This window comes from Homo sapiens, chromosome 1 (genome assembly GCF_000001405.40).
Source record: "Homo sapiens chromosome 1, GRCh38.p14 Primary Assembly".
NCBI lineage: Eukaryota > Metazoa > Chordata > Mammalia > Primates > Hominidae > Homo > Homo sapiens.
In genome coordinates this window covers 116,817,120-116,839,186 of record NC_000001.11, presented here as the reverse complement: position 1 = coordinate 116,839,186, position 22,067 = coordinate 116,817,120, and the positions used below count along the sequence as shown (strand labels likewise).

The 22,067-nt window shown below is 45.3% G+C and overlaps 3 annotated features.

The window, feature by feature from the left end:
• Positions 11,606-11,795: an enhancer, noted in NCBI's record as "active region_1575". NCBI's record gives its function as "activates an Ori minimal core promoter by ATAC-STARR-seq in GM12878 lymphoblastoid cells {active_cell/tissue: GM12878}" and the evidence as "EXISTENCE:reporter gene assay evidence [ECO:0000049][PMID:35858748]".
• Positions 18,499-18,700: a silencer, noted in NCBI's record as "fragment chr1:117363109-117363310 (GRCh37/hg19 assembly coordinates)". NCBI's record gives its function as "represses an EF-1alpha promoter that drives an FKBP-Casp9 reporter gene in an ReSE screen in HepG2 liver carcinoma cells {active_cell/tissue: HepG2}" and the evidence as "EXISTENCE:reporter gene assay evidence [ECO:0000049][PMID:32094911]".
• Positions 21,246-21,540: an enhancer, noted in NCBI's record as "tiled region #9503; K562 Activating DNase unmatched - State 12:CtcfO". NCBI's record gives its function as "activates a minimal TATA promoter and a strong SV40 promoter by Sharpr-MPRA in K562 cells {active_cell/tissue: K562}" and the evidence as "EXISTENCE:reporter gene assay evidence [ECO:0000049][PMID:27701403]".

The window sequence follows — 22,067 nt, the reverse complement described above, 5'->3', positions numbered from 1 at the left end:
TCTGTGTTTAGTGGCATACCCGTGAAGGGGGTGTGGTACCCCAGTGTCTGTGGCATGCTGCTAGAAATTCTTTCTTGGAGTTCCCTTCTGTGCCAGCTACACAGTAATGATGTCCCCGTGTCTGACTCTGTAAGTCCTCTCTGTATTAGTCCTTTTTCACGCTGCTGATAAAGACATACCCAAGACTGGGCAATTTACAAAAGAAAGAGGTTTAATGGACTTATAGTTCTATGTGGCTGGGGAGGCTTCACAATCATGGTGGAAGGCAAGGAGGAGCAAATCACATCTTATGTGGATGGCGGCAAAGACAGAGCTTGTGCAGAGAAACTCCCCCTTATAAAACCATCAGATCTCATGAGACTTATTCACTATCTCGAGAATAGCATGGGAAAGACCTGCCCCCATGATTCAATTACCTCTTACCAAGTCCCTCCCACAACATGTGGGAATTCAAGATGAGATTTGGGTGGGGACCCAGCCAAACCATATCATTCTGCCCTGGCCCCTCCCAAATCTCATGTCCTCACATTTCAAAACCAGTCTTGCCTTCCCAACAGTCCCCTAAAGTCTTAACTCATTTCAGCATTAACTCAAAAGTCCACAGTCCAGAGTCTCATCTGAGACAAGGCAAGTCCTTTCCGCCTATGAGCCTATAAAATCAAAAGCACGTTAGTTACTTCTTAGATACAATTGGAGGTACAGGCATTGAATGAATACAGCCATTCCAAATGCGAGAAATTGGCCAAAACAAAGGGTCTACAGGCCCCATGCAAGTCAAAAATCCAGCAGGGCAGTCAAATCTTAAAGCTCCAAAATGATCTCCTTTGACTCCGTGTCTCACATCCAGGTCACACTGATCCAGGTCCACACTGATGTGGACTCCCACAGCCTTAGGCAGCTTTGTCCCTGTGGCCTTGCAGGGTATAGCCCCCCTCCTGGCCTCTTTCATGGGCTGGCTTTGAGTGTCTGTGGCTTTTCCAGGCACATGGTACAAGCTGTTGGTGGATCTACCATTCTGGGGTCTGGAGGATGGTTGCCCTCTTCTCACAGCTCCACTAGGCAGTACCCAAATAGGGACTCTGTGTGGGGGCTCCGACTCCACATTTCCCTTCTGTCCTGCCCTAGCAGAGGTTCTCCATGAGGGCCCTGCCCCCGTAGCAAACTTCTACCTGGGCATCCAGGTATTTCCATACATCCTCTAAAATCTAGGTGGAGGTTCCCAAACCTCAATTCTTGATTTCTGTGCACCTGCAGGCTCAACACCACATGGGAGATGTCAAGGCTTGGGGCTTCCACCCTCTGAAGCAACAACCTGAACTGTACCTTGGCCCCTTTTGGTCACAGCTGGAGCAGCTGGGACACAGGGCACCAAGTCTCTAGACCACACACAGCAGGAGGACCCTGGGCCAAGCCCATGAAATCATTTTTTTATCCTAAACCTCCAGGCCTGTGATGAGAGGGGCTGCTGCAAAGGTCTCTGACATGGCCTGGAGACCTTTTCCCCATTGTCTTGGGGATTAACATTTGGCTCCTCCTTACTTATGCAAATATCTGCAACCAGCTTGAATTTCTTCTCAGAAAATGGGATTTTCTTCTCTATCACATTGTCAACCTGTACATTTTTCAAACTTTTATGCTCTGTTTCCCTTTTAAAACTGAATGCCTTTAACAGCACCCAAGTCACCTCTTGAATGCTTTGCTGCTTAGGAATTTCTTCTGCCAAGTACCCTAAGTCATCTCTCTCAAATTTCCACAAATCTCTAAGGCAGGGGCAAAATGCTGCCAGTCTCTTTGCTAAAGCATAATGAGACACCTTTGCTCCAGTTCCCAACAAGTTCCTTATCTCCAGCTGAGACCACTTCAGCGTGGATTTCATTGTCCATATAATTATCAGCATTTTGGTCAAAGCCATTCAAGAAGTCTCTAGGGAGTTCCAAACTTTCCCACATTTTCCTGTCTTCTTCTGAGCCCTCCAAACTGTTCCAAACTCTGCCTGTTATCCAGTTGCAAAGTCACTTCCACATTTTTGGATACCTTTTCAGCAGCGCCCCACTCTACTGGTACCAACTTACTGTATTAGTCCGTTTTCACACTGCTGATAAAGACATACCCAAGACTGGGCAACTTACAAAAGAAAGAAGTTTAATGGACTTATAGTTCTACATGGCTGGGGAGGCCTCACAGTCATGGTGGAAGGAAAGGAGGAACAAGTCCCATCTTATGTGGATGACGGCAGTCAAAGAGAGAGCTTGTGCAGGGAAACTTCCCCTTATAAAACTATCAGATCAACTGGGCTTGGTGGCTCATGCCTGTAATCCCAACACTTTGGGAGGCCAAGGCAGGTGGATCACCTGAGGTCGGGAGTTCAAGGCCAGCCTGATAAACATGGAGAAACTTCATCTCTACTAAAGATAAATAAATAAAAAATTAGCCAGGCGTGGTGGTGCATGCCTGTAATCCCAGCTACTTGGGAGCTGAGGTAGGAGAATTGCTTGAACCCAGGAGGCAGAGGTTGTGGTGAGCCAAGATTGCACCATTGCACTCCAGTCTGGGCAACGAGAGTGAAACTCTGTCTCACAAAACAAACAAACAAAAACACAAAAAACCATCAGATCTTGTGAGACTTATTCACTATCTCAAGAACAGCATGGGAAAGACCTGCCCCCAGATTCAAATACCTGCTACCGGGTCTCTCCCACAACATGTGGGAACTCAAGATGAGATTTGGGTGGGGACACAGCCAAACCATGTCATGCTCCCTCCACCCTCATGACCTCCTCCCTCTCAGGAGGGTTGGCCTCTTTCCCACGGCTCTGCTTCTCATTGGCCCAGGGGCTGGTAAGGTAGTGCCAGCATTCTCCCTCAGGGACAGGGTTCTCTGTTCAGCACAACAAAAGCACCTACAATTCAGGGAGGAGATCTGTCCCTAGCCAGCTTCCTCAGGGAGGAATTATTTTGAGCTTATCTAACACTCCCTGGGAGTCCTTAGGGCCTCTCCAGGCTGTGGCATTCCTGCATGTGAGTTTTTGGGTATTGGAGCAGATGTTGATCAGTGTTCAGAAATTGGGATATCCTGACAAAACATCACCTGACATTTCTGCTGGGCTTGGGCCTGAGTCCCTGTGGGTATCTGAGGACAGAGTGGCTGAAAGGTAAAGCAGGCCTCGTCTTTCATTCTTAGCTCTTCCTGCTACTTGAGTAGCAGGACCCAGCAACCCTGTCAAGATTGAGAAAAACACCAGAGGCAGAGCACTGGGGAAGAAGGAGGCCTGGTTCAACTTCAGCAAAATGGGGAGCTGAGGGCAAGAGCTGGGACTGGAAGACAAGGATTTTCCAGATAAAATGGCCTGGGAGGTACCCAGCTCCTTTCTTCTCCCTCCACGGGGTGTTTTCAGTTCCTGCCTACGTCTCCCCTCATATTCCCTGAATACCCTGCCCACTGGCCTCTAGGGCAGCCTGCACACTGCAGCAGGCGACCCCAATTACCCACTTGAAACCAGGCCTTTGGAACAAGTCCTGCTCTTTCCCAAAAGTGCTCTAAAGTATAAGTGTTGCCCAGGAACAACTGAACACATTTATACTCATGTTAGTACACAGCAGACTAATAATTTGAGATATTAACCAGAATGTTTTATTTTTTTCTGCCGCCACAACTGGGATTTGAACACTGAGATGTGATCCTGCCATTTGCCACTGGCAGAGTTGTCAGGCAAGGGCTAAACCTGTGGAAAACCTGCATGATTCCTGACTTTAGGGTTCCAAAGGCACCACCTCTAGTGAAACTAAAGAGACTTGAAAGGAAGCACAAGCAGGCAGAACAGGTTTCTGTCCCCAGGCCCCTCCGCACCCCAGACACACACCTACAGAAAGAGGACCGGCAGGAGAAGCAAGGGAGACAGTTCCAACAACAGTGTGTGAGCTACGGGTTTTATCCCCTACCTAAAGGAGCTAAAGGGGAAGGGTCCAATATGGAATTGCCTTGGTCCCTAGGGAACTTCCTGTCTAGGATGTTGGAAGATGCACAGATGTACCTGTGCCATCTGGGCAGGAGGAGGGGTGAAGAGGGCTGCATGGGCTCCTGAGGCACGGGACACCAGGCCTGAATGGTGATGGAGGGGACAGTGTTGTTGGGTAGAAGAAACTCAGGTAGCAGGAATCACTGAGAATGAGAGACGGGGTCTGCTTCACCTTTCTCTCAACCACTCAATTTGTTTGGGCAGAGCAGCAGGGCAGTGCCTGTCAGGAAGTCAAGAAGAAGAGGCACTGGTCTGAGGGGTGTCAGGTGGACTTCCTGCTAAGAGTCAGGGGAGCACAGCTGCTCCTCTGGTGGCTGTCATTGCCAAGGAGGAGAGGTGAGAAGTGAATCAGCAGGGACAGGCTGCTGAGATCTGCCCCAGGGAGGACCACACACTGTCTAAGCTGAAAGAAACAGGTGGGAAGAGGTCATAAGCCACAGCCATGAGCATAGCACCAAGAAGGATCCAGGACCAAGAAGCAGATCCGCCTCTCTCAGCTGCCAGTTATACGAGCCTCCCAGTGTGGAAGGGAAGCAGTTGCCTACATTCCTTGGAACTCAGTATTGAGCCTAGGGAAGGAGGAGAAGTGAAGGGCATTTTAACCTTGAATGTGAAATGTTTAGGAAGGCAAAAGGTAACTGCATATCCTTTTAATGCCGTACTGTAATGTTTAATAAGCCTACCTAAGGTCATCTGATGTTCTAGAAAAGTGGTTTCAAAGTATGGCTCAGAGACCCCTGACATCTCTGAAACCCTTTCAGAAACCCATGAGGTCAACTCTACTGTTGCAATAATAGGAAGATATTATTTGCCACCCATACAGGAACCTGACTTTGGATTGTTAGGAGATAAGAAATAGATTCTTTTTCTTGGGCACATAGGTAGACTGCATTTCCAGCCGCCCTGTGGTTAGATTATCCCTGTAACTGAGTCATAGCAATAGATTTTAGGCAGAAGTGATGCCCTCTACTCCCATACCTGGCCCTGAAGTCCTCCCATGGATGACTATCCGTGCTCTTTCTCCCTCTGGTTAGTTAACTGGAATAGATCCCCCTTTTCCCCACTCCATCTCCATGACAACTTTGGGAACTGCCTGTTGACAATGGCAGAGAAGGAGGCTGGATCCCTGAATCTCTGCTTAGGAGACAGCTACTCATACAAAGAGCCCCATGCTGGATAGTAAAGAAACAAGAAATAAACTTTTATTGTGTTAAATCACTGAGCCTTCAGAGTGTATCTGCTACTAACACAATGAGCACCACGCTATGAAGACTGAGACCACTTATCTGGAGTTAACTGCTGTTGTCAAGTCCAATGCATGGCAAATATAATCTGACAAATCCCTCATTTGTTTGGCAGCCCTTCAGGCTTTGACATCAGCTGTTATTGTGCTGCATGACAACTAGGCATTAATAATAAACATTTCACAAAAATGGTTGTAATAGCTTTTGCTTTTTAAAAGACAAACGAATTTCTTCCTCCTTTTCTCTCTCTAGTACCTATTCGTGGCATCAGTCAATTATTGCTTCTCTGTACATTATCATGCTTAAAAGTATGGCGTCAATAAGTGTATAATATCTAGGACTGGTGGTTTGATAATCCTTCTTCAGTCTAGGCTGGAAGTCACATTATGGCTGTGAAGGGTGGCAGAAAATGCCACCCCAAAATACAGCATAAGGATTATTTTGAGCTGAAGGCAATTGAGAAGAAACAGACACATAAAAAGCTCTCTGCCCTCCCCTTATTTGCCTAAAAGCAGAACATAAATTTGTAAAGGTGTCCCCTCTCCCGTCTCTAACAGGAAAGACAGAAATTAATCACCAGAGACAACTCTAGGTCCTTATGGCCCAGAGAAATCTCCACAAACCTTGCTAAAACTAAACCTTATCTACTTTCCATGTATTTGCACACAATTGCCACTCCTAGAAGCTCAAAGTCCTTTTCTTTTGTCTTGTTGCTTTCTTTTTTTCAAAACTCTTCTTTGCTAAGATGCTCTCTAAGCCCAAGTTCTAACTCCCCTTTGGAGTTACTCATCACTGGGTGCTCCCAGGTGTATGCGTGATACACATGTTAGTAAACTTATGTTTGTTTTACTCTTGCTAATACGTCTTTTGTCCATCTAATTTGCTGGGCCCTAGCCAATTAACCTAAGATAGGTAGAGAGAAAACATTTTTTTCTTCTCCACAACTGGAACTTGCCTTCAGGTCTGAGGTCCCCACTTTATGTTTGGGAGTAACAAATTGGAGCCTAAGAACACATCCACCAGGATGGAGAAGGGGTTCAAAGCTGCCCTAGGGGAGACCGCTGAGGGACTAAGAGAAAAAGAAAACTCAGGGAAGACACAGCAAGGATCTTAACCTACAGTATTTGAAAAGCTGTCACGTTGAAGAGGGATTAGATTTACAATCACCCCATAGGGCAGAAACAAAACCAACCAGCTGAACGCTCCCTAGGAGAAATATTTCAATAAAGAAAGAACTTTCTAACAGGGCAAGAATATCCACAAATGGAAGTGACTTTGGAGTGAGAAAATAATTTATTGCTGATGTAAAGGAAGAAAGGGGAGGGAGGGAAGAAGAAAGGGAAAAACAGAGGCTTCCTCCTTCTTACGGAAGTAAGAACTTACCCATTTCATTTGAAGGCTGGAAGCAGTTTTCTGCCTTGGGTTAACTTGGAGGCAGACTGCTTCATTGTTCTGGAAAAGAACACCCTTTGGTTATGCAAATATAGAACAATGACCCTTTTCTAGAATGACAGGTTTGAGAGCCTGGCTCTTGGGAACTAAACTACAGTGCATAATAATGAAAAATGTATCTCTTTTTTTGTGGGAAAAATCGCATCTGTACTATCGTGTTTCTGATAGAAAAATATTTCTTTCCTAAACGTGGATTTAGATAACATGCACTATTTATATATTGTGACTTGTCCCTGTGGAAGTGTGAATGTGTGTTCCTGCCCCAGCAGTTTGCTCAGAGGAGACTCAGAAGATGGTGGGAGTCCAGGGGTGGTGGGACATCTTAGACTATTGATGTCTCATTCACTTGCCGAAATGAGAGAACCAGATAGGGGGAAAGTACTGGTGAGGAGTTTTCAGCTTTTGATGGATTCATTTTGAGGGTCTGGGGCAATGTTTCTTACAGCCTGGTTCAAGAAAGCTATATTCACCTCAAAGAATAACTGTAGAACAAACATCTGCATAATTGGTCACCAGTCAGAATACAACATTGATAGTAACATCAAAGACCCTGTGTGTGTGTCTTCCAATCACATCTCCTCCCTTTCCTATAGAGGTAACTACCATGATAATTTTTGATTAGTCTTCTCTTTCTTGTCTTAATACTTTTAACATCTATGTATCCCTAAAATCATTTTCTTAGTTTTGCCTCATGAGTCATCCATGTTGATGTTTGTTGCAGTGTTTCATGCCTTTGTAGTGCTATTATTTCATATATGATAACTTATTTGTCCAATTTACAGTTGAAGGACGTTTGAATTATTTCCAGTTTTTAAAAAAGAATTAAGACAATGGTGCTATGGCACCTGGTGCACATGTGCAAGAACTTTTCTAGAGCCTCGGTTTTCAAAATGTAGTCCCAGCATCAGAGCACCCGGGAACTTCACGAGAAATGCAAAATCTCAATTGCTGCATCAGACTTGAATTAGAAACACTGGCAGAGGGGCCCAGCAATCTGTGTTTTTTTTTTTTTTTTTTTTTTTTTTTTTTTTTTGAGACGGAGTCTCGCTCTGTCGCCCAGGCTGGAGTGCAGTGGCACGATCTTGGCTCACTGCAAGCTCCGCCTCCCGGGTTCACGCCATTCTCCTGCCTCAGCCTCCCGAGTAGCTGGGACTACAGGCGCCCGCCACCACGCCCGGCTAATTTTTTTTGCATTTTTAGTAGAGACGGGGTTTCACTGTGTTAGCCAGGATGGTCTCGATCTCCCGACCTCGTGATCGGCCCGCCTCGGCCTCCCAAAGTGCTGGGATTACAGGCGTGAGCCACCGCGCCCGGCCACAATCTGTGTTTTAACAAGCCCACTGGGTGTGCTAATGGCAGGTGAAAGTTTGAGAACCACGCCCTAGGATATGGATGTAGAAGTAAGATTGCTGAGCTCATGTTCACATTTCCAGATAAAGTCAGTCTGTTTTCCAAAGTAGTTGTGCCAGTTTACACTTTGCCAACAGTGTATGAGAGTCCCTGTTTTTCCATAACCTTGCCAACACTCAGTTTTATCAGTCTTTTTTACTTTAGCCATTCTGGTGAGAATTAAGTTATACTTCGTTGTGGTTTTAATTTGCATTTAACTTTTCAGTAAATGAGATTAGTCAATGTATCAGTCAGAGTCCCAGCAGAAAAATATGATACATTCAACTCAGGATAACTGTGTGTGTGTGTGTGTGTGTGTGTGTGTGTGTGTGTGTGAGAGAGAGAGAGAGAGAGAAAGGGAGAGAGACAGAGAGAGAGAGAGAGAGAAGGGTTAAGATAGGTGTGAGCATGTGAAGAGAAATAGTAGAGATGGTGCAAAAACTCAAGACTAGCAGCAGTAAGTCTGTCACTATCCTTAGGCCAAAAAGATGGAGATAGAATTTCATAGAGTTGGCCACCATTCGAGAAGCACTGACCTTCTGTGAAGAAAAGAGCCAATCCAAGGCAACTGCTCTCAGGGAGCAACTAGCTCACTCTTTTTCTGTCTCTGAATTCCCAAGGGACTCCTCATAGCCAGGAGATGTTTGATGAATCTGGAGGAGCAAACAGATTTTTTTGCGGCAAGAGACCCATTTATGAAGCAGAGAGTGCACCCTCACCAGACTTAGAATCTGCTGGCATTTTGATCTTGGATTCCCAGCTTCCAGTACTCTGAGAAATAAATTTCCATTATTTATAAATTACCCAGTCTATATGGCTGGCACATAGAAGGCTCTCAATAAATATTTGTGAATGTTTGTTGAATAAATCCTTATTTTACAAACATGGAATGGAAACACTGAGCATTAAGCAGCTTACTTAAAGTCACCCAGTGAGTAAGTGGCAGAGCTGGGATTCCAGCCTACACTCTGACCACTGTGCTCTCTGTCTCTGAGGCTGGTGCTGTACTACACAAATAGTAGTATAGCACAATAGTATAGTGCTATACTATTTGTATAGAGAGTATACTATTTGTATAGTATAGCACTGTACTATTTATGTACATTAGAAACATAGCAATACAGCACCTTTTTTTTTCAGAAATAATGCACATTCAAGGACTCAGGCAAAACATATTTGAATGGGTGTCTATGTGGAAGGGAGAGAAAGAAGAGTTGAAATTAGAAATGAAGGGAAGGAAGGCCAGGCATGGTGGCTCACGCCTGTAATCCTAGCACTTTGGGAGGCTAAGGCAGGCGGATCACTTGAGATCAGGAGTTCGAGACCAGCCTGGCCAACATGGTGAAACCTCCTGTCTACTAAAAATATAAAAAATTAGTTGGGCATGGTGGCGGGTGCCTGTAATCCCAGCTACTTGGGAGGCTGAGGCAGGAGAATTGCTTGAACCCAGGAGGTGGAGGTTGTAGTGAGCCAAGATCGTGCCACTAATCATTTCTCTAATGATTAATGATGTTGAACATCTCTTTTCATGTCTTTTTTCTTCTTAAAGATGAGTATGTTTGTAAAGTGATGCAAATGACCCAGTAAAGCAAGAGCTTGGTGATGCAGGAGGTATCACGGATCTCTGCAGGGGCCATGTCCACAAGGAGGAGCAAAAAAGACTGAGGTCTACACTTCAAACCAAGGGTGAGGCTTTGATTATGGCAAGGACACTTCGACCTACTTACCTGGCCTGAAGAAGAGGAGGTACGTGGGAATGCAGGCTGGATTCTAGATTTGGTGATGGGAAGATGAGACCATTCCTATTTGAAACCTTCTATTTTTTCCATGTAGTAAGAGGTGAGTTCACCTGCTGAAGAGGGTGCAGTGGCAGAAAATGTAGAAAGTCTAAAGTAAGAACAAGAAGATATGAGTTAGTTACTCCAGAGAGTGGGAAACGGTCAGTGTTGAGGGAAGCTTTGAGCACTCTGGTCAGGCTTCTGGTCATGAATTCAAAGTGTGAGGGTCAGCCTGGCATAAGATTTTCTTTAGAAATATTTTATCTGGCCAGGTGCGGTGGCTCACGCCTGTAATCCCAGCACTTTGGGGGGCCGAGGTGAGCGGAACAGGAGTTCGAGACCAGCCTGACCAACATGGTGAAACCCTGTCTCTACTAAAAATACAAAAAAATTAGCTGGGTGTCGTGGTGTGCGCCTGTAATCCCAGCTACTTGGGAGACAGGAGAATCGCTTGAACCCGGAGGCAGAGATTGCCGTGAGCTGAGATCGCGCCACCGCACTCCAGCCTGGGTGACAGAGTGAGACTCTGTCTCAAAAAAAAAAAAAAGAAATATTTTATTTAGGCACATTGGATACAGGCAAGGAAAAACAGTTATTGAGGTTGTCAGAGAGAGGTTTTTGCCAAAAGAGAAAGGATGAGGAAATGGAGGGTATTTGTGAGGTAGTGTTTATCAGGGTGGGCTTTGGGCTGTAAGTCGGATCAGGAATGCAGTGAAGACAAGAGGCCTGCTAAAGAGTGACACATGATGTGTCTCAATGTAATTAAAGAGTCACAGCCAAAAGGGCACTAGAGCAAGTGGAAGAGAAGGACAGGAAATTAGTTGAGATTTTTTTTAAAGTCTACTTTGTTTTTTAGAGTTTTAGATCCACAGCAAAACTGAACAGAAAGTACAGAGCTTTCCCATATACCCTCTGCCCTCATATGTGCACAACCAACCCTGCTATCAACACACCCCACCAGAGTGGTACATTTGTTACAAGTGAAGAACCTCCAGATGAACCTCCATTGACACATCATTATCACCTTGATACAGGTTGGACATTTGTCCCCTCCACATCTCATGCTGAAATCTGATCCCCAATGCTGGAGGTGGGGCCTAGTGGGAGGTGTTTGGATCATGGGTGAATCCCTCATGAAGGCTGTGGTGCCGTCCTCATGGAAATAAGTAAGTTCTTGCTTTATTAGTTCTAGTGAGAGCTGGTTGCTAAAAATGAGAGATGGCAACTCATCTTTCTTTCTTGCCATATAATCTCTGCATGAGCTGGCTCCCCTTTGCCTTCTACCATGAGTGGAAGCAGCCTGAGGCCCTCATTATAAGCAGATGTTGGCGCCATGCTTCCTGTACAGCCTACAGAGCTCTGAGCCAAATAAACCTCTTTGTAAATTACCCAGCCCAGGTAAGACACACCCAAAGTCCATAGTTCACATTAGGGTTCACCCTTGGTGTTGTATATTCTGTGGGTCCTGACAAAGGTATAATGACATGTATACTCCAGTAGGGTATCACACAATATCGTTTCACTGCCCTAAAAATACTTTATACTCAACCTCTTCATCCCTCCCTTCTCCCAAACCTCTGGCAAACACCTTTCCTTTTAATCTCCATAGTTTTGTCTCTTCCAGTGCCATTTAGTTGGAATTATACAGCATGTAGCCTTTTCAGGTTGGCTTCTTTCATTTACAGTCCCTCCATGTCTTTTCATGGTCTAGTGGGGATTTCTGAGAGGGAAATTTCAGAGCTGGTGTTCTTCTTGGTGATGACAAAGTCTAAGCTGATTACAGGTATCGGTGGCTGAGACGAAGTGAAGGAAAAGGTTGCTGGAGGTGAACAGATGGAGGAAACCAGAGGCCAGGACGTTGGATGAGTCATCCTCGTGGTTCTGAAGTGAGTGAACCATCCCACTGTCAATCACCCTTGGAAGAGATAATGCCTGAGACAGGAAATGAGGCCTAAGAGGGACAAGAAGAGTTGCAGTTTCCTTTCCATGAGCCTTAAGAAGTGGAGCTCAGGGCTTTGTGCAGGGGTGCTGGGGTGAGAGGCTCTACGTAGGCTGTAAGTGATTGCAGAGCTCAGACATGGGGAGAGAAAGGTTGGCTTCTTCCTGAGTGAACAGGCTGGGAGGTGGACAGGATGGCATTCTATAAGCAGGCGAGGATTGCAGATTCTGTCTTCTCCTCTCTCTGACATGAAGGTTTATGCTATTTTTGTGGCTGTGTTGTAATACCCTTAACCTAAGCTTTAGGTACGAATCTTGTTAAAGATTAACAGTTTGGTTTTTGCTGTCATGGTGGGGAATGGAGGGAAGGACCTGTGGCCAGCTTGAGAGAGTCAGAAGAAAGCTGCTCCCAAGTGTGGTTGAAGGACTGCAGTGGAGTAAGCTGTGGCTGGAGACAGGGCCCGGCCAAGGGGGCTGGGCCAACCAGGGAAGACTTCGAGGGATGGGAGTTACCTCAGAAATACATGGGGTGAAATGTGAGGGAAAAACAAGTTTCCTGTAGTCAAAGGAGGCTAGGATAGGTTCCATCCCTTGTTTTAAAATAAGACAGTGACAGAGTTGTTTAGACAAATGCTGGTACAGACCTTACATTTGGATTATACTTGCATAAACAAGTGCCTGCCCCTCTTCCTCTTCATACCCTCTTCAAGTGACTTATTTTGTGGTCCTTTTCCCTCAAAGCTGCTCCTGAAGTTCATTTGCATACCATTTCTCAGTAGACAGAATGGGAGTCAGGGAAGCACCTCCACCCCTTCCTGACGGCCCACCTTTGCTATGGGTTAATGTGCCTACTCTGTGACACTCTATTCTCTGTGCGTGTGCCTCACAGGCCCACATAGGAGGACCAGAAGATGCAAGGACCTGGGTGTTCGAGGACCAGGGTCTGAGAGGACCAGGGTGTGCAAGGGCCTGGGTGTGCGATGACCTGGGTGTGTGAGGATCTGCGTGTGTGAGGGCCTTGGTGTGTGAAGGCCAGGGTGTGTAGGGACCTGGGTGTGTGGGGTGTGTGAGGACCAGGATGTGTAGGGACCTGGGTATATGGGGTGTGTGAGGGCCAGGGTGTGTGGGGAGCTAAGTGTGCGGGGAGCTAGGTGTGTTGGGATCTGGGTATGTGATGGCCAGGGTGTGTGGGGATCCCAGGACACAGGAACCAAGTTTGAGGACCCAGGTCTGCTTCCCATTTGCCATTCAGCACGTCACCACCGCCTGCTGGTGACAGGAGCGGCAGAAGGGTGCTCTGTAATGAAGGGGCAGGCCTGGAGCCAGCAAGTCCCATCTGCCCTTTACCATAAACTGTCACACAGCACTCGGAACAGAGTTTATGGCCTTGGCTGTGTTCCCATCTTCTGAGTCTCAGGCTGTAAATTATACCAAAGCTGTAGGTCCTGCTGGCTGGGCCCTGGCCACCCTGAGAGGTGGGAGAAGAGGGGAGGACAGATCACACTGTGGACTCCGTCCCCCTCCTCTTCTTTGTGTCTGTCAAAATCAAATTAAGATCAACATCCTGAGTGGCCTTGACGGGGAAAGAAGCTACACAGTGGCTGCAGGATTTGAGGTTTGGAGAGACGGTAGGAATGGAGAAGGGAGGAAGAGGGTCCTAATCTGTGGAACATTTGGAGGAGGCCAGGTCTGTTTTTAGCCTGGGCTGGTGGAGCTGTCTCATTCCTCCCCTCCTACTCTTGGCTAAATCACTCAGCAGCTGAGCCGGGGCTGGGGGTGTTTTCCTGCCCCTCCGCCCGTCCATCTGTCCAAAGGAGTGTCCTGTGCTCACCACACCCAGCTGCCCCCACCGAGCTGGGAGTGGCTCTGAGGCAGTTTGGAATAAGATCTGCTAAAAACAGAGTTGAGGGAAAGGAAAACATTGAATATTAACATAGCAGGGAAGATGGCTGAGGACTGAGAGAAGCACTGCATAAATCTGCATGGCTAATGCAGTCAGGAAAGAGAAGCTGAAAGCCCTGGGACATCAGGTCGAAGACAATGGGGAGTTGTGAACTTGAGGGCAGGAATACACAACAAGGGGAAGATGCTGTCATTTTGGAGTAAGAGGCATTGGGAAAGGAGGAAAGGGGGTGGAGAAGGCAGATGTGATTTTCTAAGCAAGTGAAAAGACAATGAGGTAATTGTTAGCCAATCGGAGGCAAGGATGGAATTTGAACCCAGGAAAGGGAATATAAAAGACCTCTAGGGAATTGAGAGTGCCACTTTCCTGTCCCCTGATTGAGGGGACTACGGAGAACAGGAAGGCCGGTTGGAGGCCTGTGCTTCTCAGTGCTCATGTCTGTGTCCCAGATTTCTCTTTGTGCTGTTTCCAGTGTGGGAATTGTGCTTGGAAGAACATCTCCATGGGCAGGAGGACAGCTCTCCCTGGGAGGAGACCTCTCTTTCTCTAGAGGCCTTTGTCTCCCTGAATCCCCTTCCACAAGGGCAAGGTTCTTGGCCAAACCCCCTTCCCTCAGCAGGTGTCTTCTTCCCACACCTCAGCCTCCATTTCACAGAATGTTGACTCACAGTCAGGAGAGACTTCCGGGATCCTTCAGGAATCCCATCTTTCACATCCTTGACAGGTGGCCATCCGGCTTCAACATAAGCACTTCCACAAACAGGAGTGCAGTTCCTCACAATGCAGCCATTCTAATTTTGGGCAGCTCAAATTGTTAGCAACTTTTTCTTTTATATAAAGAAAATAAACACAACTCACTCTCTAACATTCACTGATTTTACTTAGAGTCATACCGAATATATTTAATCTGTTTCCAGTATGATAGGCCTGTCAATGTGTGTAGGATTACTCTCATTCCCCAATCAGTCTTCTGCTTTCTCAGTAGTTCCGGTTCCTTCAGCCACATCTCTAGGGAACAATTTCCTCATCACTTCTCTCCCCAGTTGCTCTCCTCTGAATATGCATCCATTTTTTACTTGGTTATTTTTGGTGTTTATTCATTCATATCCCCAATGTATCCCAAAGGAGACTTGAAGGAGCTTGCAAAAGCGTAAATGATACAGCAGGATTATAAAAGTAATGGAGGAAATATTAGCGTAGAGAAATAAGTGCAGGAAATATTAACCCAAGGTAAGTGTAGTGTACAAACACATGCCATACAGATCTCTAAACCTGGCTAGGTATTAGGCTCTAAATTTGCCTTTTGAACTTACTGGCAGCCAGAGCCAAAAGGGAAACAGGGGCAGTTGTACAATTCAGTCTTCATAAAAGCAAACAGGAAACGTAGCTATCCCTGGACATGAACAGAAAAGAAAATTTTCTCCTGGGTTCTCCCAGAGAAGAATGCATCTAACAATTTCCTTATGATAAATTCAATACCACATTTACTCAAATTGTTTCTTTTAAAGTCATCTCTCATTGTAGATCTAGGGCTTAACTCCAAAGCACAATTTCAATAAAAGCAGATGCTCCAGTTTGTTAATGTGCCTCTTAAAATGTGGCAAGAAGAGATTTCAAACTCTATCTGACCAAAGAACATTACCATGAGATATTTCTGCCTGTTTGGGGACACTATATTTCTATTAGCACAGCCTATAATTGCATTAGCTTTTGGGCAGTGACATGGCTATTGACTTCCTTAGCAGTCTACTCAAACCTGACAGGAACTGAATTTAAGCCAACTTGTCTTCATCTTTTACTTGGGCAATTGATTTTTTGAACTTAAGTGCAGGACTATACTGTTTATCACCACAAAATTCCATCTTGTTCAAGTCACTCCTATTTGTTCTATCCTGTTGATAGTCTTTGATTTGGATTACATCAACCAATATACCATATTTCATCAAATAGAAAACTCCTTTAACTGTAAGATGCATTTAAAAAAATTACCATAAAGAAGAAACAGTACTGCCCATTAAACTGTGGGATGCAACTGATTGTATGATGCATCTGATTTTAGAAGTTAAAATGTACATCTTAGAATTAGTGGAGTATGGTACTAATAAACTCACATCCTGTCATCTGCAATTTGAAAATCATATCTTCTCTAGCATCGTTTATGGGATATTCACATTGAACTGAATGGGGCCAAGGAGAGGCCAGTGGACTCCTATTGAGGAGATCCTTGAGGTTTTCCTGCTCATTTGCTTGTACAACCACTCATCGAATAAATATTAATTTATTGAGTGAATGCATGGAACATTCAGGCTACAAAAATGAACAAGACCCAGTCCCTTCAATACCAATCTGAACTCACAGAAGTGAGTTATTACTTCTCCTTTAAGGCACTAACTCTTTCACCTGTCCTTTAAAATAATCAATGAATCGGCCGGGCGCCGTGGCTCATGCCTATAATCCCAGCACTTTGGGAGGCCGAGACGGGCGGATCACGAGGTCGGGAGATGGAGATCATCCTGGCTAACACGGTGAAACCCTGTCTTTACTAAAATTACAAAAAAAAATTAGCCAGGCGTGGTGGTGGGCACCTGTAGTCTCCGCTTCTCAGGAGGCTGAGGCAGGAGAATGGCAGGAACCAAGGAGGCGGAGCTTGCAGTGAGCTGAGATCGCACCGCTGCACTCCAGCCTGGGCACAGAGCAAGACTCCGTCTCAAAAAAAGAAAAAAAAAAGATAATCAATGAATCATCAAATATTGCTCTATTAAGCACCTACCCTGAGTAAGGTGTAGGATTGTACAGCTGATGGACGTGACTTAACAACAGTCTCTGATTTAAGAATCTCAGTGTCTAATGAGGATGGTAAGAAGTGGACTCAATACTTTGGTCTTTAGAATTGCTATGGTCTGAAAGTTTGTGTCTTCCCAAAACTCATATGTTGAAATTTGATCCCCAATGTGGTGGTATTAAGATGTGGAGCCACCAGGCATGGTGGCTCACCCCTGTAATCCCAGCACTTTCGTAGACTGAGGCGGGCAGATCACCTGAGGTCGGGAGTTCGAGACCAGCCTGACCAACATGGAGAAGCCCTGCCTCTACTAAAAATACAACATTAGCTGGGTGTGGTGCATGCTTGTAATCCCAGCTGCTTGGGAGGCTGAGGCAGGAGAATCACTTGAACCCAGGAGGCAGAGGTTGCAGTGAGCCGAGATCACGCCATTGCACTCCAGCCTGGGCAACAAGAATGAAACTCTGTCTCAAACAATAATAATATAATAATAATAAAAAAAAGATGTGGGGCCTTTGGCAGCTGATTAGCTCACCCATGGGATTAGAGTCCATATAAAAGAGGCCTGAGGGTGCTTGTTTGCCCTTCCACCACGTGAGGAACAGATAGGAGGCACTGTCTGTGAGAAAGCAGGCCCTCACCAAATGCTAAATCTCCCAGTGCCTTGTCTTAGACTTTCCAGCCTCCAGAACTGTGAGTAATAAATTTCTGTTGTTCATGAGCCACTGAGTTTATGATATTTTGTTACAACAGTCCAAGTGAACTAAGACAAGGATTCAGTTTTATGTGGCTGTGACACAGAAGGTAACTCAGCAGTCTCTATGAAGGACTCCCATACCACATGGGACCACGGTGCAGTCTCTTTCAGTCCTAACATCATGGCCTTTCTACCAGATTGGCCTGCTGCTGTTACCTGTTCCTCCAGGACATCCTCCATGTCTGTGCTTGGAGATCTTAGTAACAGTTACATGTGGACCAGAAATGTATTGAGAGTCTATTATGTATTAGACCCCAGACCAAGAGCCAAGCAGGTAGAAGGATGTAATAGACATTATCATGGCCTACAGCAGCAGTCCCCAACCTTTTTGGCACCAGGAACCAGTTTCGTGGAAGATAATTATTCTGTGGACTGGGATGGGGGGATGGTTTTGGGATGAAACTGTTCCACGTCAGATCATCAGGCATTAGATAGATTCTCATAAGGAGCACACAACCTAGATCCCTTGCGTGTGCAGTTCACAATAGGGTTCACGTTCCTATGAGAATCTAATGCCACTGCTGATCTGACAGGAGGCGGGGCTCAGGTGGTAATGCTCGCTCGCCCACCGCTCACCTGCTGCTGTGTGGCCCTGTTCCTAACAGGACATGGACCTGGGGACTGGGGGCCCCTGGTCTACAGCATGTTTCAATAAGGTAGACTTCTTCCCATGTTTAAAGATGTTAAACCATCCTTAATGGGACAAAAAGGCTACTTTCTTTTCAGTAAGAGTTAAGAAAGGAAATTGTAACAGTGCCTTTAGAATAATTGCAAATCTAATGCAGAACATTGGTTTACTCTCATGTCAGAGTGAAATAGAAATATAAGAAATTCAGGCCAATTGCAACCGAATTCTGAATGAAGCAAGGTGTCCAGTGCTCCTGTGTTGGGATAACTTCACTGTTTTCACTATCCACTTAGATACTCTGCAGGTACACCTGTGATTTGGTAGTGTCCTCTCACTTTGAAGGAAGTCTTTTACAAACACCTTATCCTTCAGGTTTTGGGGTTTCACTTCTAAGAGAAAAAAAAGATGCAAGACCTAATTAAGGTGTAAATTTAGACACAAGTGTAAAGATTCTAATAATCACATTAAGGCTTTTCTATTATAAGATAAGCCTGAAACCCATGAAGCATTTTCTCTGCGAGCCAACCCTCAGACTGAAATGTGGAAACAGGCCTTGATCACCTATGTGGGATTTTGTATTTTTCTGTGAGGGCAGACATAGGCCTCAGCACTGGAAATTTTTCACAGGGACCTCACAAAACATGACGCAGACTGTGAAGATAATGGTAGCATTAGCAACAAGAATGGATTGCACCTCCCGGGGCCAGGCACTGTGCCAGACACTGGGAATGTGGGAATAAGTGTCAGCAACCCACGTTCGCCTGCCAGGTGCCATTCTAAGCACTCTACACGCAATGCTGCATTCAATCCTCACAACAACCCTGTGGGATAGGTGTGATTAACAGCCCTCTGTGACAGGGAGTCAAATAACTTGCCCAGATCCAGGCTCAAACTAGTAAATATGGCCAGCACTCACACCGGCTCCAGGGCCTCCATCCTCACCAGTGATGTTAGAGGCCTTGAAATTACCTTTTCCTTTACCAAATGTTCCTATTTCAACCCAGGCCTTCCATTGCAAGGTCAGTTAAGTAAGATGATAGCCTGATCCATATGTGAAAGGCTGATCCACCCCTCCATTTTGTAGCAGATATAAAAATCACCAGGGTGATCGTTATCATAGCTCACTCTAAGTAGTATCAATGAATGAGCTGGGAACAACAGGGGTGATTTGTGCCCAGGAATCTGGAAGGTGGAATGTCAACGGGTGCCACTGCACAGCAAGGAGAGGTGTACTGGTCCTGTTGAAATGTTCCTGGTTTCTTTTTTCTTTTCTTGTCTTTTTTTTTTTTTTTTTTTTTTTTTTTCAGACAGAGTCTTGCTCTGTCACCTGGAGTGCAATGGCACAATCTCAGCTCACTGCAAGCTCCGCCTCCTGGGTTCGAGCGATTCTCCTGCCACAGCCTCCCAAGTAGCTGGGATAACAGGCCCACACCACCACGCCCAGCTAATTTTTGTGTTTTTAGTAGAGACAGGGTTTCACCATGCTGGTCAGTCTGGTCTCGAACTCCTGACCTCAGGTGATCCACCGGCCTTGGCCTCCCAAAGTGCTGGGGTTATAGGCGTGAGCCACCACTCCTGGCCAAATGTTTCTGGTTTCTTTTGTTTTTCTTTTCTGATTTAGAGACCGTACTCATCTGAGGCCTGCCACACTAAAGACCCTGGAACAGCAAACTAAGACAGACATGGAGTCCATTGAACTTGTCCATTCCCTGCTCCTTCCCCAGGGGTTGTGTGTTTTGAGAGCCCTTAGATAAACTGGAGTTTAGAACCAGAGCGGCCAGCAACCCTGCCCTAACAGGAAATGAAGGGGGGTTGGACATAGGTGTTTACAGTGTGCCTTTCATGGGATACCCTTTACCTAGCAGATGGCCTAATGTCTAGTTACCCAACCCACGACCGCAAGGGTCCCTCATGTGGGAAACTTGTTTATACTGGCAGACGACTTCTGGCTTATGATCCAGTTTATGCCTCCATCACTCTAGCATTGGGATCCTGACCTTGTGTTCTCCCCAACATCATGGGAAAAACCCAGCCTGGGGCAGCCTGTCCCTGGGTCTCATGAGGCAGGAATGAAGAGTCAGATAGAAAGAAAGGGTTGGGAGAGAGGGAGAGAGCACACGTGCATGGCAATAAGCAGCATGTATAAAGGAATAGGATGTGGGTGACTCTCAGTTCTTGGGCAAACGCCTGAGTGGTTTTTTTAAAGGAAGCGGTGGGAAAGTGGGGAGTCCAGTCTGCTAGGTGGTAGAGAGGACTCTAAGTTCTTATTTCTGGCTACCAGCTTGAGCCATTTGGGTGTGGGTGTAGTGTAGGACTGAAACTTGTATCAAGGGTGTCTGAGACCTGATTTTGATTTTGGTATGAGACAGTTAAACTTGTATTCAAAATGGATGCCGAGATAACCTAAAATGGTAAAAAGTCACTATTTTGCAGCATTTGGAAACCATAATCCCTTGGCAAAAAAACAAAATAATAATTTTATAAAGGAACACACAAAATAGCAGTGACCTTATGTAATAAGACATGACTGGCTTAGTAAGAACTGAGCTTAGACACCACTGGGAAGAGTTAAATGCCATTTTTTTCCCAACGTATCCGTGGGCACTTGGGCCTCCCTTCTGTCTTTGCATCATTAACTTATGTAGTTATGGGATTTATTAAGTAAAGGAGGATCTTCTTTTGGGAAAAGAGAATTAGGATCTTGACTTCTCCCGCCACTTGCCCCACTTTGAAGTTTAAGAACATAAATGTGTGTTGATGGACTGGGGTGGCTCTGATTGAGATCAGAGTGAAGGAGTTAACTATGGTACCTTCAAAAGGAGAGAGTCTGGACCCAGAAGCAACCTACTCCATCCAAGTAGGTCTTAGAGGAAATGAGTACAGTATATGCAAATAGAAAAAAATAGCCCCTTAACTGTGTAAAATGTAGGTGTTGAGGACTGACAGTCCTAAATTGGATTTGTGGTGGTGTGTCTTTTGGCATGTTGCCTACTTCTGTCTAAGTCTCATCTATGAAGAGGACATATAATAATAATATGCATAACTCCTAATATTTAAATGAGGAATAAATATGAAACAATTGATGTAAAGTACTGAGTGCTATATGTAGCACATAATAAATGCTCAACAAATGTTATATATAAAACTACTAATCACACATATATCACTAAAGAGCTGAATCACTTGGGATTTTGGCATTTTCAATATGGGACATTCCTAGATGACTTGAATACTGAGGTCTTTATTATATCTTGGAGGATTCATCTTCATCTGGGAGATCTGGTCAATTCTTGCAGCTGGCAGTGAAAACAAGAGAGTACTAGGAGAGTTAGAGAAAGGTGTCCAGCTGGGCTCCATCTCTGCAGCCCTGCAGAGCTTTGACGTGGTTGTCTAATCACCACCACCAGGTGTGAAATGGTGGAGTGGGAAGCCTAGGAGACCAGCAGGTGGGGCCATCCCAAGAAAGTGTGGGGAGGTCCCCAGATAGCCATGGAGTGCAGCCCCTCTAGTGTTGAGTGAGTTTCTGCTCTCCCAGCAGGGGGCAGCAAGTGACGAGGACAGCCATTTAACTCAGGGGAATCACAGTCACTTGGGAAGAGAAACCCTAGGTAAACAGCAAATTTCTTATTAATTTGTGATGTAGTGATTCAGAGTGATTTCAATATTAAAGTAAATGTGACTGTATTTTGCAGTCACATGCTGGCAGGGCCAGAGCCTGTGGGTAATAATAAACATATTATTGTCAATCAATGTTAACAAAAGACTTGGGCAAATCACAGCAGAATGAATGCAGATTGCAAAATAAACACATGAAAGTATTTCAGCCTCACCAGTACAAAAAATGTAAATTTAAACAAGGTAGCATTTTTAATCTGCCAAACTATCAAAACATTTTTAAAAATAATAACTTCTGACTAGTTTCGAAAAAATTTTATGCTTTGGATCCTGTTTGTACATCATCTTATTTAGTCCTAATAGTAGTAAGGACCAATCTCATTTTATGACTGAAGAAACAATCTCCAAGAACTTGAATGATATAAAGATGTCAATTTGAGGCCGGGCACGGTGGCTCACGCCTGTAATCCCAGCACTTTGGGAGGCCGAGGCGGATCCGCCTGAGGTTGGGAGTTTGAGACCAGCCTGGCCAGCATGGTGAAACCCCGTCTCTACTAAAGAAAAA